General features: G+C 36.2%; 1 protein-coding gene and 1 long non-coding RNA gene across 10 annotated transcripts in view; one reads left to right on the forward strand and one right to left on the reverse strand.

The window, feature by feature from the left end:
• Positions 1-18,965, forward strand: part of RALGPS2 (Ral GEF with PH domain and SH3 binding motif 2) — a 196,597-nt gene that overhangs the window by 70,103 nt on the left and 107,529 nt on the right. For 8 of the 9 annotated variants that reach the window (NR_174383.1, NR_174384.1, XM_047423755.1 and 5 more), the window contains 2 exons: positions 12,699-12,782; positions 15,969-16,058. Coding sequence is in view for 6 of the 9 variants with exons in the window: in XM_047423755.1 (XP_047279711.1) it covers positions 12,699-12,782; positions 15,969-16,058 (174 nt within the window). In the remaining 3 variants the exon portion in view is untranslated. Of the gene's footprint in view, positions 1-1,404; positions 1,424-12,698; positions 12,783-15,968; positions 16,059-18,965 lie in introns of those variants that run through there. The other variant, XM_047423777.1, reaches the window with a different exon arrangement.
• Positions 1,841-14,437, reverse strand: LOC124904462 (uncharacterized). The gene is made up of 3 exons (XR_007066749.1): positions 14,359-14,437; positions 7,726-7,835; positions 1,841-1,927 (listed from the first exon to the last, which is right to left on the reverse strand). It is a non-coding gene; the product is annotated as an uncharacterized LOC124904462 (long non-coding RNA).

The raw sequence follows: 18,965 nt of genomic DNA on the forward strand, positions 1-18,965 counted from the left end.
TGTTGGTTAAATGAGGGAAAGTATGTAATAGATAATTCTGAATCTTATTAATTAAAATATTTCTTGTTTGTTTGTTTGTTTTTTGAGACAAAGTCTTACTCTGTTGCCCAGGCTAGAGTGCAGTGGTGCGATCTTGTCTCACTGCAACCTCTGCCTCCCGGGTTCAAGTGGTTCTTCTGCCTCAGCCTCCTGAGTAGCTGGGATAACAGGTGTGCTACCACCACACCTGGCTAATTTTTGTATTTTTAGTAGAGATGGGGTTTCACCATGTTGGCCAGGCTTGTCTCGAACACCTGACCTAAGGTGATCCACCCACCTCAGCCTCCCAAAGTGCTGGATTACAGGTGTAGCCACCACACCTGGACTGTATCTTATTAAAATATTTCTGAAAAATTTAACAATTGAGATATTTCCGACAGTATATAGAAAAAGCTTCTCTGTGCAAACCTTCTAGTGTATGTCAAGATAATATAATCTTGGAAACATCCAAAGTTCCAGCATCAGGAATATCATAATTCTATCCTTGTTTTAATGAAAATTAATCATTTGCCTTAAAATTAAAATATAAACAATTAATAAATATAATGAGAGATTTGAAGAAAGCAAAGAAGACTTGTAGACTTGAAATTGTTCTGCTATACAGACCAGAATAAACCAATTGCTGTGTTAGAAGCGAGTTGCCGCTGTTTTGTCAGTTTGTATTACTGCTGTTCATCACTGTGAACTTCTTTAATATATAATAAGATAAGGCTTAGATTAGGATTAAGGAAGGTAGAGAAGAAAAGTGTTGTTTGGTAGTGTAGGTGTATATGACATCAGAGATAGGAAAAGAAAGCTCCTGCCTGTATCTGTGATCTCATTATACGGACAGCTTTAACATATTGGGAGGAAGGAAGAGAAAAGAGGATGTGAGTACATTAGAAAATAGAAGGGTTTATATATATATATCTTAATACCTAGGAGTTAGTTTTAAAGTTTATATTGTGGGTTAAGATATAGGAATAGTAGTGAGCACTTCATGTGTGACTGAGACTTCTTTGTAGATAACCATATTAGGCTGAATGCTAATGGATATGCCGTATTCCTCTAAAGCTGTCCTCTTTTGAGCACAGAGATGTCTCAGCAATAATTATCTTCTCTTTGTTAGGATCTCCCAGCCCCATTGCCCTCTCCCTGCTTCCAGTCATTTACAGATTCCATCGCTTTTTCTTTTCTTCCCTCAGTCTCTTATCTACATACTAGTCTATATTGGCTTTTTCTCTCTTCTATCTGTAGGTATCCCTACAGCATCACCCTTAGAACATTCCTTTTAAGAGTATTGGAACCTACAAGATGAAATTTAGATCAAGAATTTCTTTGCAGAACAAACCTACAAGATATAAGGAAGCTCTGACTTCTGTGAATTCAGTAATTCTTTCATAGGGTAGGTGGTCATCAGTTGTGGGATTTTGCCCTCCCTGTGCTTCCAAAATAAATGCAAGTGAAAATTGGGCTTAGTAGTTTCATAGTTTAAAATTAATCAATGAATATTCTTTCAAATACACTTATAATGACTGTTAAGAAATTGCCTTTATATATGATTTACTATTTGAAGATTTCTCTTTACTACGTGATTTTAAAATTGCAAGTTAAATCCATTGTAACAAATTTTAAGGGGTATCAAGGCTGCTAAATTTCATTTAGCCTTTGCTAAAATGGAGGCTTATTTACATAGTATACTCAAAACAGTTTTATTCCTAAGTCATACCCTTGAAAAAAGCATCCTTTGAGTTGTTGAGTTTACTTCAACCTTTTGATGTTCATATGAGATATTTTAGTATAGACTAATTCTTGACCAGGCTGAACTGTCAATATGCAAGATGGCATCTGTGGCATAATTTATTTCCTGGATTGTATTCTAGTGTGACTTGGAGGAAGATCTTAGAATCTGAAACAGAAAGAGATAGAGACAAAGGGAAAAGCAATTTTTTTTTTTTTAATCACAGAGAAATTTAGCAGCTCTTGAGAGGTAGAGGTGGGGCAGGGCAAAATTCCTTTAATGCCAGGTAACCATAAATGCATGTCAAAGTTTAAGAAGAAATAGTGGGTTAGTTCTTGGGAGTCCCGGTGCAATTTTAGCTTCATAATTCATTATGTAGTTTTGTTTTTATTGCTGTTTTTTAACTTTTTATTTTGACATAATAGATTCACAGGAAGTTGCAACAAAATAGTACAGAGATAATTAGAGGCCCATAGGCAGTTATAAAAGTAGTCCAGAAAAGTCCCATTTACTTACTCTTCATTCAGTTTTCCTCAGCAGTTACATCTTACATAACTATAGTACAATATCAAAACCAAGAAATTGATATTTTTATAATACGTGTCTGTATAAATCTGTGATTTTTGTCATATATGTAGATTTATCTAACCACTACCTCAGTCAAGATTCAGAACTATTGCATCACCACAAAGATCTCTCCCTGTGCTACCTCTTTATAGTCACACCCATCGCATTACTCCTCTCCTACTCCTCACCAGCCTTAACCCTGGCAGCCACAAATCTGTTCTTCATCTTGTTGAACTGTGAGAATCCACTCATACACATATTTTTTTCAATAAATATTTTGGAAATTTTGTCTTGAAGATTTCCAACAATTTGTAAAAAAAAAAAAAAAAAAAACCACATAGCTTAGAAATATAAAAAAAAATTAAGAAAAAGGGATGGCGTGAATGTATAAAATATATGTAGATACTAGTCTATTTTGTCTTTTACTACCATGAGATATATCCAAATGTATTAAGAAAAGTTAATATTTATCAAGACTTATGCACACAAAGACCTTGTGTTCTGCCATATGCGGTCAAGAGAACTATTAAGAAACATAAAGATGCAGTATTAAGTCATAACTGCATAAAATTAACTGTAGTGCATACCATTCTATTGTAGTAATTTTGTAACCACCTCGCGTTGCTATTACAGTGAGCTCAAGTGTTGAGAGTATCTGCTGAAAATGATGATGCTAATCAGTTATCTCCACATGAGCAGTTCCTGTCTCCAGTAAATTGTGTTATGACGTTAAAATGTGATCTCTCACTGTGTTTAGTGCAATATCCTAACCTTGAATAATACCATGAGACCCATAAGAAATACCATTAGTGGTGGTGGAAGTGCTTCTAAGAAGCAGAGAAAAGTTACGACATTACAGGAACAGGTTGAATTGCTTGAAATGTACCACAGATTAAGGTCTGCAGCTGCAGTTGTCTGCCATTTCAAGATAAATGAATCCAGTGTAAGGAGCATTGTGTTTCGTTTTTTTTTTAAAAAGGAAATTTGTGAAGTCATCACTTTTCATACACCAGCAGGTATGGAAACCCCACACGTTTTGTGAAATATTGTGTCTTTTATCTTGTATTGAAAATGCAGCTTTTTAAATGGGTCCAGGATTTCTATAAGAAAGTATACCCATAGCCTCAAATATTATTCAAGAAAAAGCAAACTCATTATATGACAACTTAAAAGGAAGGTGAAGTATCTAAAGCTGGAGAATTTAATGCCAGCAAAGGATGGTTTGATAATTTTAGAAAGAAGTTTTGCTTAAAAATTGTCAGGATAACAGGAGAAGCAGCTTCTGCCTACCAAGCAGCAGCAGACAGGCTCCCAGACACCATTGAGAAAATCATTGAGGAGAATGGGTATCTGCTTGAACAAGTTGCTGTTGTTGTTGTTGTTTTGAGACGGAGTCTTGCTCTGTCACCCAAGCTAGAGTGCAGTGGCGCGATCTCCGCTCACCACAACCTCCACCTCCTGGGTTCAAGTGATTCTCCTGCCTCAGACTCCTGAGTAGCTTGGATTACAGGCACATGCCACCATGCCTGGCTAATTTTTTGTATTTTTAGTAGAGATGGGGTTTCACCGTGTTGGCCAGGCTGGTCTTGAACTCCTGACCTCATGATCCGTCTGCCTCGGCTTCCCAAAGTGCTGGGATTACAGGCCACTGCACCCAGTCTGAACAAGTTTTTAATACAGATGAAAGTGTCCTACTCTGGAAAAAAAAAATGCCACAAAGGACATATATTAGCAAGGAAGAGAGGCAAGCACCACAATTTAAGGCAGATGGGGATAGGCTAACTCTACTGTTTTGTGCAATTGCGGTTGGGTTTATGATCAGGACTGCCCTTACCTATAAAGCTGCTAAACCCTGAGTCTTGAAGGGAAAAGGTAAACACCAGCTGCCCGTCTTTGGATGTAAAATAATAAAGCCTGGAAAATGAGAACCCCTTTTCTGGATTGGTTCCATTGATGCTTTGTCTCTGAAGCCAGGAAGAACCCTGCTAATAAGGGACTGCCTCGTAAAGTTCTTTTGATTCTGAGCAATGCGCCTGGCCACCCAGAGCCCCGTGTGTTCAACACCAAAGGCTCATTACACTCAGTACTTTATGAAAAGGATTGTCGGTGATATATAAGAACCCTTATATAGAACATCATCAAAGTCTAAAAGAATTGCACTATTGAAGATGCCATCATTGTTAAAGAAAAAGCCATGAAAGCCATCAAGCCCAAAACAATAAATTTCAGCTGGAGAAAACTGTGTCCAGATGTTACACGTGAATTCACAGGTTTTATGACAGAGCCAACCAAGGAAATCATGAAAAAGATTGTGGATATGGCAAAAAAAGTTAGGGAGCTAAGAGTTTCAAGATACGGATCTTGGAGAAATTCAAGAGCTAATAAACACCACACCAGAGGAATTAACAAAAGATGACTTGATGGAGATGAACGCTTCTGAGCCAGTGCCAGATGATGAGGAAGAAGATGTAGAAAAAGCAGCACCAGAAAACAAATTGACATTAGACAGTCCAGCAGAAGAGTTCTAGTGATTCAAGACTGCATTTGACTTCTTTTACAACATGGACCGTTCTATGATACAGGCATTGAAACTAAAGGAAACTACGGAAGAAAGATTGGTACCATATGGAAACATCTTTAGAGAAATGGAAAAAGCAAAAAAAGTCAGACCTAAATTACATATGTTTTTGTAAAGTTACACCAAGTGTGCCTGCCTTTCTGGCCTTCTTTTCACCTCTGCCACCACTGAGACAACAAGACCAACCCCTTCAGCCTATACACCATGAAGATGCAAGGATGAAGACCTTAATGATGATCCACTTCCACTTAACGAATAGTAAATTCTCTTCCTTATGATTTTCTTAATGACATTTTATTTTCTCTAGCTTACTTTACTGTAAGAATATAGTGTATTATACATATCACATACAAAATACATGTTAATCACCTGTTGATGTTATGAGTAAGGCTGGTCAGCAGTAGGCTATTAGTGGTTTTGGGGGAGTCAAAGGTTATATGTGCATAATTTTAAAAGTTAGATGTGGGTTTTCAACTGTTCGGAGGGTCAGTGCCCCTAACCCCTGAGTTGTTTAAGGGTCAACTGTATTTACTACTCTTTCTATATATGGTTGACTTAATTTCCCCAACTTTGAGACGAAAGATGTTTGATGTGAAGTAGAGAGAAAATAAGGGTGGAGAGAGGGCTGTGAATCACCTATAAACCCCAAAGAAAACCTATGTAAACATATTCCCAATCTTTTTTTTTTTTTTTGAGACAGAAGTCTCGCTCTGTTGCCCAGGCTGGAGCGCAGTGGCGTGATCTCAGCTCACTGCAAACTCCACCTCCTGGGTTCAAGTTATTCTCCTGCCTCAGCCTCCCAAGTAGCTGGGATTACAGGCATATGCCACCACGCCTGGCTAATTTTTGTATTTTTAGTAGAGAGGGATTTCACCATATTGGTCAGGCTGGTCTTGAACTCCTGACCTCAGGTGATCCACCTGCCTCGGCCTCCCAAAGTGTTAGGATTACAGGTGTGAGCCACTATGCCCAGCCTTCCCAATCTTCTTTATGTGCATATGTGGGTCTCTTTTTTGTTCATTTGTTTAAGGTAGCCAATAGCTATACTTTGCTGTGTAATTTAATCTACTGTGTTTTAAAAGTCTTTCCCATCCTGAAAACAGATGTCTTAATAGTAGCAATAATAATAATAATACTAACACTAATACAGAGATTATTATGTGCCAGTCTAAAGGCTTTATACATATCAACCCATTTGATCCTGTTTCATCATTATAATTTATCGTGATAAATAAGGAAGCCAGACAAAAGTATGGTGGATTGTGGCTTCATTTTTACATTAAAAAAATTTTTTAATACTTTTCTGACTCCTCAAATAAATGCCAAGAGGTTTTGGAAAGTCCGTCCAATTCTTAGAACATTTCTGCATCATTAATTTAATGGAAAAAATGCTTTGTCACTTGAGGAAAACTGTTGGAAGGTGACTGAAAGGAAATCATGAAAGAGATTGTGGATATGGCAAAAAAGGTAGGGAGCTAAGAGTTTCGAGATATGGATCTTGGAGAAATTCAAGAGCTAATAAACACCACACCAGAGGAATTAACAAAAGGTGACTTGATGGGTAGAAGGGAGGGAGGGAGGGAGGGAGAGGTGTGTAGTCACATTCTTTGGAAGCAGCTGGGTTAAAATTCCGTTTGAAGCCCTCCATTCTAAAGAAGCTTATAATTAGAAAACAAGAGAAAATGTTTTTGAACCTCATAAGATGGTAGTTTCTGTATCAGAAAACATTTCCCCCATGAAACAGTGTTACATCACTAGCCTATCTCATACAACAATAATCAGAACTACACTTTACCCTTGAATGTCTCTGGAGTTAGAAACACCAGGCTCCCAGAAGTCGAAAATTTGCAGGTAAAACTCAACTACTCATAGCCTACCATTGACTGGAAGCCTTATTGATAACATAAACAGTCGATTAACACATAGTTTGTATGTTATATATATTATATAATATATTCTTAAAGTAAGCTAGAAAAAAGAAAATGTTATTAGGAAAAATACATTTACAGTACTGTATTGTACATCATAAGTTTACATAGTCTGTTTATAAGATATATTGACTGAAATGGCAGCAGGACCTCAGTCTATGGTACATATCAAGCAATGCAACTTGTTCTTGAAATGTCATGACTTTTCTTTGCTTCTTAGGAGCACTTCCAGCATCTCTAGTGGTGCTTCTTATGGGTCCCATGGTGTTATTCAAGGTTTAGGATATTGCACTAAACACGATGAAAAATAACGTGAGAACCGTGAGAAATCACATTTTACTGTGATAATACAATTTACTGGAGATAGGAACTGCTCATGTGGAGATAAGTAGTGTCATCACAGGGTGTTTTAAGGGAATACTCTCTACACTTAAACTCACTGTAAGAGCAACACGAGGTGGGTACAAAATTATTATAGTAGAACAGTATGTACTATGGTTAATTTTATGCAGTTATGATTTAATATTGCACCTTTATGTTTGTTACATTTCTCTGGACTGCATATGGCAGCATGTAAGGTCTGTTGGTGTGCATAAATTTTGATAAATGTTAACTTTTTTAAATACATTTGTGTGTATTTTATGGTAGTAAATGATAAAATAGACTAGTATTTTATACATTCACGCCATCCCTAGCTTTTTCTTAATTTTTCGATACTCCAAGCCATGTGGTTTGTCTGCAAGTTTTTTCAAATTGTTGCAAATCTTCAAGACAAAATTTCCAAAATATTTTTTGAAAAAAATCTGTGTATGAGTGGACCCACACAGTTCAAACCCATGTTGTTCAAGGGTCAACTATGTACCTCATTTTGATAAGAGTGTTGTGAAACTTACATTCATTTCTCGTGGGAGTGTAAATGATTCAGTATTTCAGGAGGGCAGTTTGACAGGTAGCAGAGCCTTGAAAAGGTTCATACTCTTTGACCTCGTGATTTCTTGTAGGACTATATTTTTAAGAAATAATCAGAAATGTCAGAAGAGGTGCAAGGATATTCATTATTTGTAATTATAGCATTACTTAACAATAGGAAAATGAAATCAGCCTTTTGTGTAAAGGTCTATAATGGAGTTTGACTTCTTTGTCAAATGGCTACTTTGAGTGGTTTGATAAGTTTAATTTGATAGACACTTTGATTATAGCATTAATATAAGTTTTGTAATTATAGTAATTGGCTAAAAACGAATTCAGTTACTTAGGGATTTAATCTTAGGAATTTTATCCTAAAATATGACATCTTTATGTAGTTGTGTATGTATGCTGTGATTTTGGAAAGAACAAAAATGTTTCTAGCAGTTTGATGTTTTCAGTATCATTGTCATAATATTTTTGTGTGAATATAATTTTTACTACTAAATGTTTTCTTTTTTTACAGGGAGATAATATAAAATGATCATATAGCTAGGCTAATTGAATATCCAGAAATTTTTATTTTTGCTATAGAATTGCTTTTTATCATTTCATTATTTCTTTCAGAAATTTCAAGCTTGAAAGATATGATCTAATTTTAGATTTAAAAAGGCAGTTTTTATCTCCACAGCATTCACTCCTTATCTACTGTGTAGAAATAATTGTCATCTCTCCCCTCAGTATTCCCTATCTCAGTTGCTCAAAGCAGAAACCTGGAATCTTAGTACTTCTGCAGACTTCGTTTTTAGCTTACATCACATGAGTCCAATTCTTGATGAAGTCCTGTCTGCCTCCAGAGTATCTTGAGTCTATCGTATCCATATCCACTGACAGTGCCCTGGTTGAGGGAACATTACTTTTTTCTTGAAGGACTATAGTATCATCTTAACTGTTTCCTCAATCTTCCCCTGACTCAATCTATTCCTTTTTTTTTTTTTGGTTTCTAATTTAATTTAAGATTTTATTGAAGTTTTGCATGTATCATGTTTAAGAAGTCAAATATTTGCATAAGAGAACAAAATATAGCAAAATCCTAACTCAGTTATTCGCATCTTTCCAACCTCGATCCTGGAGCTCCACTCCCACCCAGATCTCTTAGCTGTTTCTTCTTTTTTTTTTTTTTTTAATTAATTGATTTATTTATTATTATACTTTAAGTTTTAGGGTACATGTGCACATTGTGCAGGTTAGTTACATATGTATACATGTGCCATGCTGGTGTGCTGCACCCACTAACTCGTCATCTAGCATTAGGTATATCTCCCAATGCTATCCCTCCCCCCTCCCCCCACCCCACAACAGTCCCCAGAGTGTGACGTTCCCCTTCCTGTGTCCATGTGATCTCATTGTTCAGTTCCCACCTATGAGTGAGAATATGCGGTGTTTGGTTTTTTGTTCTTGCGATAGTTTACTGAGAATGATGATTTCCAATTTCATCCATGTCCCTACAGAGGACATGAACTCATCATTTTTTATGGCTGCATAGTATTCCATGGTGTATATGTGCCACATTTTCTTAATCCAGTCTATCATTGTTGGACATTTGGGTTGGTTCCAAGTCTTTGCTATTGTGAATAATGCCGCAATAAACATACGTGTGCATGTGTCTTTATAGCAGCATGATTTATAGTCCTTTGGGTATATACCCAGTAATGGGATGGCTGGGTCAAATGGTATTTCTAGTTCTAGATCCCTGAGGAATCGCCACACTGACTTCCACAATGGTTGAACTAGTTTACAGTCCCACCAACAGTGTAAAAGTGTTCCTATTTCTCCACATCCTCTCCAGCACCTGTTGTTTCCTGACTTTTTAATGATTGCCATTCTAACTGGTGTGAGATGGTATCTCATTGTGGTTTTGATTTGCATTTCTCTGATGGCCAGTGGTGATGAGCATTTTTTCATGTGTTTTTTGGCTGCATAAATGTCTTCTTTTGAGAAGTGTCTGTTCATGTCCTTCACCCATTTTTTGATGGGGTTGTTTGTTTTTTTCTTGTAAATTTGTTTGAGTTCATTGTAGATTCTGGATATTAGCCCTTTGTCAGATGAGTAGGTTGCAAAAATTTTCTCCCATTTTGTAGGTTGCCTGTTCACTCTGATGGTAGTTTCTTTTGGTGTGCAGAAGCTCTTTAGTTTAATTAGATCCCATTTGTCAATTTTGGCTTTTGTTGCCATTGCTTTTGGTGTTTTAGACATGAAGTCCTTGCCCATGCCTATGTCCTGAATGGTAATGCCTGGGTTTTCTTCTAGGGTTTTTATGGTTTTAGGTCTAACGTTTAAGTCTTTAATCCATCTTGAATTGATTTTTGTATAAGGTGTAAGGAAGGGATCCAGTTTCAGCTTTCTACATATGGCTAGCCAGTTTTCCCAGCACCATTTATTAAATAGGGAATCCTTTCCCCATTGCTTGTTTTTCTCAGGTTTGTCAAAGATCAGATAGTTGGCTAGCTGTTTCTTCTTTGAGGAATTTATGTCTGTTTTTCACATAATATATCTAAATCCTTACTTTTCCTTGATTTTTCTATTTTAAGTATGATATGTTAACTCTTTACTATAGAAGATGATTTCACTGTCTTATATTCTCTCCCCCCATTTATATAATTCATTTCTCCTTCTTTTGCACATACAGTTATATCACAATTTTGACTAAGTAACTATATTTTTTACAATCGAACTGTACTTAAGTTTTGTTTTCTTTGAGCTAAAATGTACTTTAGTTTTCTTTGTATCCATCACTAAATTTCTGCCAGAAGTGAATGTACTGAATGTCTCTTCTTAATATTTCCAAACACATAAGGAATTTTTTTTTTCACTTTCAGAAACAGATGTCTGTTGGAATTTCTGTCCTCTTGCTCCTTTCTTGACTCTTGTTCTTAAAGGTCTGCTCATAGCTTTGCCCCAGGATCTCCCATTGCTGTTAATCAGAGGATTCCCAATATATATATATTTTTTTTCTATATTGGCTTTTCAGTTTCCTGGGTCTCATATCTTCCTTTTTCTTTGTTTGCTAGTTTGTTTTGATAAAGCACATACTCTACTAGTTCTCAGAGAGTAGGTACATAGAAGACAAATTCTCTGAGATGTTCATGTCTGAAAATGTCTGTAGTCTACTTTCAGACTTCATTGATATTTGTGTTGGATATAGAATTCTAGAAAATTGAATTCTTCAAAATTGAAGGCATTGCTTCAGTTGTTTTTTAACTTCCAGTGCTGCTATTAAGATATCTGATACCTTCTGATGCCTGTTTTCCATATGTGCTGTTTTTTGTTGTTGTTTTGTTTTTGAATCTCTGATCAGTTTTCTCTGTTCCCTCTTAAAATTACTGTTATTCAGATGTTGACTCTTATGGTCTTCAAATTAGCATAACAACATTTTACTCCTATCATTAACTTTTTGTTTAAAAGATTTAGTCACCTTTATTTCACAACTCTTCTACTGACTTTCAAATTTCTCTTATATTTTTTATTTCTAAAAGCTCTATTTTGTTCTCTGAATATTTCTTTTTATATATCCTCCTGTTTTTGCTTAGTGGGTACAATGTCTTTTTCTCATGTATTAAAAAATAATAATTATATGGTTTTGGCTTCTTTTTTTCTCAGTTTTCTTCGCTCCCTGCCCTAACTCGTTCTCTGCCCTAACTCTATTTCCTCAGTTCTTTTTCTTTTTTTGTTGTGGTTCTCTCTCTCCCTGGCTATTGTTGTATTACAGAAGTTTGTTAACCTGTTTCGGACCTTGGACTCGTCCGGCAGGCTGAAGCCTATGGAATGCTAACCCTTCTTTAAAAGGAAATCAGTTCTATTAAAATATACTTAACAAAATATTTTGTAAAGCTGTTACACAGCAATACATGTGCTTCTTTGCCCTTAATGTATTAAAATCTAGAGGTCAGTCTTAAATACTACCGTATCTGGGTGTGATAATTCATGCCTGTAATCCCAGCACTTTGAGAGGCTGAGGCAGTAGGATTGCTTCAGCAAAGGACTTCAAGTCCAGTCTGGCCAACATAGCGAGACCCTGTCTCTACAAAAAATACAAACAAAATTAGCCGAATGTGGTGGTACACACCTGTAGCCCCAGCTACTTGGAAGGCTGAGGTGGAAGAATTGCCTGAGACAGGGAGATAAAGCTGCAGCGAACTATGACCCTACCAGTATACTCCAGCCTGGGCAACAGAGGAAGACCCTGTCTCAAAAAAATAAAATAACTACCATAAGTTTGAAGCAGTGATGAGTGTAAATGATATTTTTAAGGTATCTGCATCAACTGTAATGTGATATGAAAATATCAGTGATTTTGATTGGTAACTACATCACATGTGTTGCCAATGCCACTGTAATCTGTAGCCTACATTTATAACTAAAAGGACTGTCTTATTTCAGTTAGAGGTTAGTGTAAAATGAAAATTAATTTTTTAATATACAAGTTTGTGGGCATTTTGTATTCTGTCGACAGGCACTTTTTGGGGATCATGATCCCTTTTATTAAAGGTTTCTTCAAGTGTTTGGGGTAATTGACTGTTAGCTCAAAGAGTGAGATACTAGAAAGCTGATTGGGAGCTCTGGGTGACTGAATAGTCTTCACTGTATGTTGTGGGATGCTCATCTTTATCTGTGGATCTTTTCCTCTTGGGATTCAAATCTTTTCAGAAAAGAATCCACCAGTATTCTGCCTGTGGAATGTAAATTTGCCTATGTTTTCATAGTCGTTGTGCTCTCTTATGTCCTGCTAATCAAATTTGCTTTTGTGATCCAACTGAATGGATATAATATTATGTATGTTCCCATTAAATAAAGTGATTCTAGAAAAGAACACAAACTGTCTTTAATGTTTTGAAAGCCTTAATCTGGCAGAAAAAAACTAGGCTATTACTTAAATTTAATTTTCACCTTAATTTTCCAGGAGCTTTCAAGTTGTGGATGGAATAAAAAAGAAAAATATAGTTCTGCACCAAATGCAGTTGCCTTCACAAGAAGATTCAATCATGTGAGTTTATAAATTTTGATACTGTGTCTGAAATTCAGTTCCTCAATATATACTTTTTCCTTAAGAAATAATTTAACTTTTTACATCAGTTCTGGAATATTTTCAGCCAGTATCTCTCAAGTATTGTCTCTGTGCATGATCTCTTTTTTTCTCTGTAACTCCTATTGAAAATTTATTGGAACTTGACATTCTTTCCTGCTTGTCTCTTAACCTTACATATTTTCTCTCTGTTTTTGTCCTCCATTCTGAGTGATTTCCTCAGATCTACATTTCAGTTCACTGATTCTCTTCAGATGTGTTTTATCTGTTTCAAATCTCTATGCTTTTACACCAGTCATGCTCTTTTCTTATTTTTATTTTATTTTTAAAATTTATTAATTTTCAACATAGTTTCTGTGTTATTATTGGAACTTCTTGGGGTACTACTACTCTATTTCTGCTCATTCTTAAAGTGGTTTTTTCAAAGATATATAGTGAATTTTGTATCTTTGGCTTGAAAGCTCGTGTCTGTTTAAGCTTTATTCATGAGAATTTTGCTGCTGCCTCAATTGAGGGAATACATTATTCTAAGAGGCTTTTTGTTTGCTTTTGCTCATACGTAGGGTTGTCGCAGACCTGGGACTGTTTTTTATGTTTATTGTTTTGCTTGGGGCATCTTTGTACTTCTCTGTAGTAAAAATTTAAATACCAAATCCAGTTAAAGGCAGCCTGTAGTTAACAAATTCTTCTTTTAAAATTAAATTAATTTTTTCTTTTTTTAGAGACAGGGTCTCTGTCACCCAAGCTGGAGTACAGTGCTGCAGTCATAGCTCACTGCAACCAGTCCTCCTGACTCAGCCTCTCAGGTAGCCAGGACTACAGGCATGCACCACCACGCCAGACTAATTTAAAAAGAATGTTTTGTGGAGATGAGGTCTCACTATGTTGCCCAAGCTGGTCTCGAACTCCTGGCCTCAAGCGATCCTCCTGCCTCAGCCTCCCAAGGCACTGTGATTGTAAGCATGAGTCACTCTTCTCAGTCTACAAATTCTTATGAAAGAGTTTTTCTTTTTTCTCCTTGACCACCCAGAGCTTACATTATTATAGATGCACTTGTATGTTGTCTCCCTTTTTCAAGGGAGTTGAAAAATAAGTGAATTGTTTTAGTCTGCCTTTTCACTGAGATTGTAGACCTTTGAGTAGCATTAGATAGAAATGGAGGAGCGGAGAGGTGTGAGGCCTTGTATTATGTCTTTGAAGGAGCATTAAGTCCCAAGCCCCTAATGTCACCGAGATAGGAAATCCTCCAAGGGCAGTTACAGTACCCACTCTTGTAACCACTGCTTTGCTTTTATTTCCTTATTTGTTTTTGATCTCTAGAGGAAATCCTTTATTTTTCTTCCAATTCAGAAATACATTAAAAAAAAACAGTTTGTTATATGTAACCCAGCAATTCTAGGGGTTGATAGCAAAAATACTTTTTCTTGTGAGTCCAGTAATTTTATGAAACCATGTCTTGGTGTTGGTTATTCTGGGTCAGTGTTCTTAAATGTAGTTGGCTTTAATGGACTGTCATTTGGGGAGCACGTACACTTACCCTTCCAGTATTGGGGTCTCGGGGTGGCTGGATTTATTACATAGTAGCTTAGGGCTCTCCAAGAGAATGTTCCAGCAATCGAGGCAGGGGCTGCATGGTCTTTTATGACCTCGTCCTGGAAGTCAGTGTCACTTTCACTAACACTTTCTTCATCAAAGCAGTCACAAGCCTGCCCAGATTCAGTAAGAAGTGATATACGTCCTAACTTTTGATAGAGAGTGACAAAGAATGTATGCTTAAAATCACCACAGCATTTGTCTAAGCCAGGTGCAGTGGCAAGTGCCTGTAGTTCCAGCTGCTGGGCGGCTGAGACAGGAGGATCACTTGAGCCCAAGAGTTCAAGACCAGCTTGGGCAACATACTAAGACCTTGTCTTAAAAAAAAAAAAAGTCACGTTGGCCAGGTGTAGTGGCTCATGCCTGTAATCCCAGCACTTTGGGAGGCAGAGGCTGGTGGATCACCTGAGCTCGGGAGTTTGAGACCAGCTTGGGCAACGTGGTGAAACCCTGTCTCAATTTAAAAAAATACAAAAATTAGCTGGGCATGGCAGCTTACACCTGTGGTCTCAGCTACTTAGGAGGCTGAGTCAGGAGAATCACTTGAGCCTGGGAGGCAGAGGTTGCAGTTAGCCGAGATCACCCCACTACACTCCAGCCTGGGCAACAGAACAAGACTCTGTCTCCAAAACAAAACAAATCACCATAATATTTGTATTAAAATTTGCCTGATGTTAAATTTAATTAAGTTGGTGAACATGCACTTTAGATTTGAATTCGTAGTTGATATTTGCTAAGGTTATTGTTAAGATTTCCATAGCATAACTTGATTTTTTTTTTTTTTTTAGGAGTAAACCTTGTTAGAACTGGGGAGGATTATTACTTTTAGTAGCCCAAGTATAGTAACAAGTATTAAGGTGACTTTGTAAAATATGTATACTTTATATTTACATATATATTTGTAAAATATATGTAAAATACATACATAATGACATTTCTTTACAGATGAAAATTGCAAGTAAAATCTGAAATATTTCTCATTAAAAATGTGAAGAAATATGAGGCAGTGGCATTATTTGTTGCACAATAATTTTGAACTATATTCTGTATTTAGATTTGTATAAGTGAACCAACTTACAGTGCTTTGACTTTTTTTCATAGTACATGAATTAAAGTGTATTACATGGACATATTGTATCATATAATAAGCAAACTATTCAGAGTAGAGCATTATCATATTATATATCTAATCTGCCTTCTAATAAATTAGTTTTAATTATTTTTTAAATCAAGATGGTTTTATTTGAAAGCATTACAAAATTTTTGAAATGCAGTTTTAATCTTAGAATGTTAACTTAGATATATATTTTTTTCTTTTGATATTTTATTTACACCAAGAAAACCCTACTTGGGAATCTTCACTTATGATTCTACTCAATCTAAATAAACAGTCATGTAGAATTACACAGCCACAGAAAAACCTGCTATAAGTAGCACCTTTAACAATGTTTAATTTTAGAGCTTACCTAATTCTGCCAAAATTTTTTAAAATACAGCAAAAAAACTTACAAATTAAAAATCATAGTGATATTTATTTAAAATTTTTATTTACAGGTAAGCTTTTGGGTTGTTAGAGAGATTCTTCATGCTCAAACATTAAAAATTAGAGCAGAAGTTTTGAGCCACTATATTAAAACTGCTAAGGTAAGAAAAACTTGTGTTTTTATTTTTGAGTTCAACCATTCATAAATGTTTGTAAGTGAATAAATATTCGTGATGCTTTATTCACTGTTTATTGATACTGGAAAAATAAGACTCATTGATATAAGTCAATTTTTAAAATTGGATGCCTACTTTCTCTGCCTTTTCCTTTATTCTTCCTGTTTTCCTACCTTTTCTTTTATATTCTTCCTCCCACTCTCTGAGTAGCTGAATTATGTGATCTGTTTTACTGAATAAGTAGACAAAGGTTGGATTATGGTAAAGTATGATATTTATAAAATATTGGACTATTCTGCAGGTGATGAAGAAAGCCATAAAGAATTAAGTAGGAGAATACTACTTCACTTCTGAAGTGAACCATGTGAAGAATAAGACTTTATTTTTAAGAGAATGGTATATGTGATATTACCACATTGTTAACTGAACAGTTATTGTGTGACATAGATAATAAATACAGCAAGAGAAATGGAGAATGGATTTCAAAGGTAGTTGGAAATTAGAAGGGTGAGACAGGATGTTCTACAAAGGATACCAAGATTTTATTAAAACTTGTAACAACTCTGAATTTGGTTGGAGGGGCAGAAAGGGGGAGTGAGCCCTTCCCTCTCCATCATGAAGGGTCAAGGCCGGCAGCGATGTAACAAAAGACAAGTTAATGAGAGAAAAGCATAGCAGATTTATTACATGTGCATAGGAGTCATACAAAGTATAAACTCAAAGCAGGGCCAAATGGTTGATGCTTAAATATCTTCTTCACTGGGGAGAGGGGAGTTTTGGGGGAGGGGGTACATAAGAGTAAGTGATTTTCAGGTAAAATGAATGAGCCCAGAGAACGAAGTCCTGAGACCAAGTTTCTCTGAGCTCTAGGGGAGGTGGCATTACAGGTTATGGGAGAGCGAAGGGAGAAGAACATGTTAAGCAAAGACAGATATCTCAAGGAAGTATCTCAGATAATCTCAGAGCTACCCTCAGAAAGAATAGTTGGGGTCGCCTATGGTTGAGTTAATCTTTCCTAGATCTGGACAAGGGAGAGGATGCTCAGAGGAAGCCTAGCTGTTCATTTCACCATTGTAGATTTTCTTTACAGATGTGAATCTCCTCCACAAAGGGCAGCTTTTCAGGGCTATATCTGTCCGTAGGCCCTCTGAATAGCTATCTCAAAATATGTCAAAGAAGTATATTTTAGGGTAATATATTTTTGGTTTCCTTTAATGTTAAGTTCACTAAGAAGTATGGTAATTGTAGCCACGTTCATTCATTACTCTTGTAATAAATACGTAACTTTCCTCACATGTGAATGAAAGAAGGCAGAATAAAATGAGGATATCATGTTTACAGTTATTAAAAGTCATAACTCTTTCCTATTTTCCTTAAGAACATGGGAGCAATTGTATTCTAACATTCTATGGCACTAGGTGGCAGAGCTAGCCTTCTACAAATTTGATATTTTGCAAAAGTGTCAAAATATTTTTAGAAATTCTTTGTGATGATATGTTAGGTAAATACTTTTTTTTTTTTTTTTTTTTTGGAGGTGGTGTTGCGCTCTGTGGCCCAGGCTGGAGTGCAGTGGTGCGATCTCGGCTCACTGCAAACTCTGCCTCCCGAGTTCAAGTGATTCTCACATCTCAGCTTCCCAAGTATCTGGGACTACAGGTGCATGCCACCACACCCGGCTAATTTTTGTATTTTTAGTAGAGATGGGGTTTCACCATGTTGGGCCAGGCTGGTCTTGAACACCTGACCTCAAGTGATCTCCCACCTCGGCCTCCCAAAGTGCTGGGATTATAGGCGTGAGCCACTGCACCCGGCCAATACTGGTTTTTAACTAATAAAAATTAATGATTCTTCATGGATTCTGCATTATTATTTTCTGATATTTTTGTTAGTTTTTAAATTTACTTGTATGTTCCACTCAAAACCACCAAATTTTGCTCAAACCTACCACTGTCTTCATCAAACAATCATTTAACTTCAGTTCAGACTTTGAATTATTTTTGACAGCACTTGCCTTCATCCCAAGCTCTAAACTCATAATTGTTTTTTTCTCATTGTCCCTTAAACCCTTCTATTCTGACTCTCTGCCTTCTATACTGTTTGTTATAAAACTGGCAGGTCTCTTACTTGAGTATTGTTATCAGTCAGCATTCTCCAGAGAGATAGAACCGTAGCATTCTGTATAAACATGTATAAAGAGATCTAAATATAAAATGTATAAATAGATTTTAGGAATTGGCTTATACAATTGAAGGGACTGGCAAGTATGAAATCTGTAGGGTAGGCCAACAGGCTGGAAACTCAGGAGTTTAGGCACTAGTCTTGAAGCAGAATTTCTTTTCCAGGAAACACCAATTTTCAATGTTAAAGCCTTTCAACTGATCAAATGAGGCCCACACACATTATCAAGTGGAATCTCTTGATTTGTAGATGTTAACCGCATCTACAAAATATCTTCATGACAACACCTAGATTAGGGTTCGATTAAATAACTGATACTAATAGTCTAGACAAGTTGACACATCAAACTTACCATCACATAGATACAAAAGAATATAAGAATATTTAAAGTATCAAAAGAATGATAATGTGGATACCCATGCACCCACTGACCACTGGGAATTTTCATATGCCTCTTCATATGCCACCTCCTTCCCTTCTACTGCAATGGGAACTACTGCCTTGAATTTTTTCTTTTACAGTGTGTATGTTTCTGAATCATATGTTGCTGCAAATATATGCTTTTGGATTTTGTTTAAATTGAATTATTCCATATTTACTTTTGTACTTTCATAACTCAGCAGTGTTACTTAATGGTTTTGGGAGTAGCTCTGTTGTAGAGTATCCTATTTGTATATATCACAAATTATTCAATGTACTTTGGATTATTTCCAA

The sequence above is a fragment of the Homo sapiens genome, chromosome 1 (genome assembly GCF_000001405.40).
Source record: "Homo sapiens chromosome 1, GRCh38.p14 Primary Assembly".
NCBI lineage: Eukaryota > Metazoa > Chordata > Mammalia > Primates > Hominidae > Homo > Homo sapiens.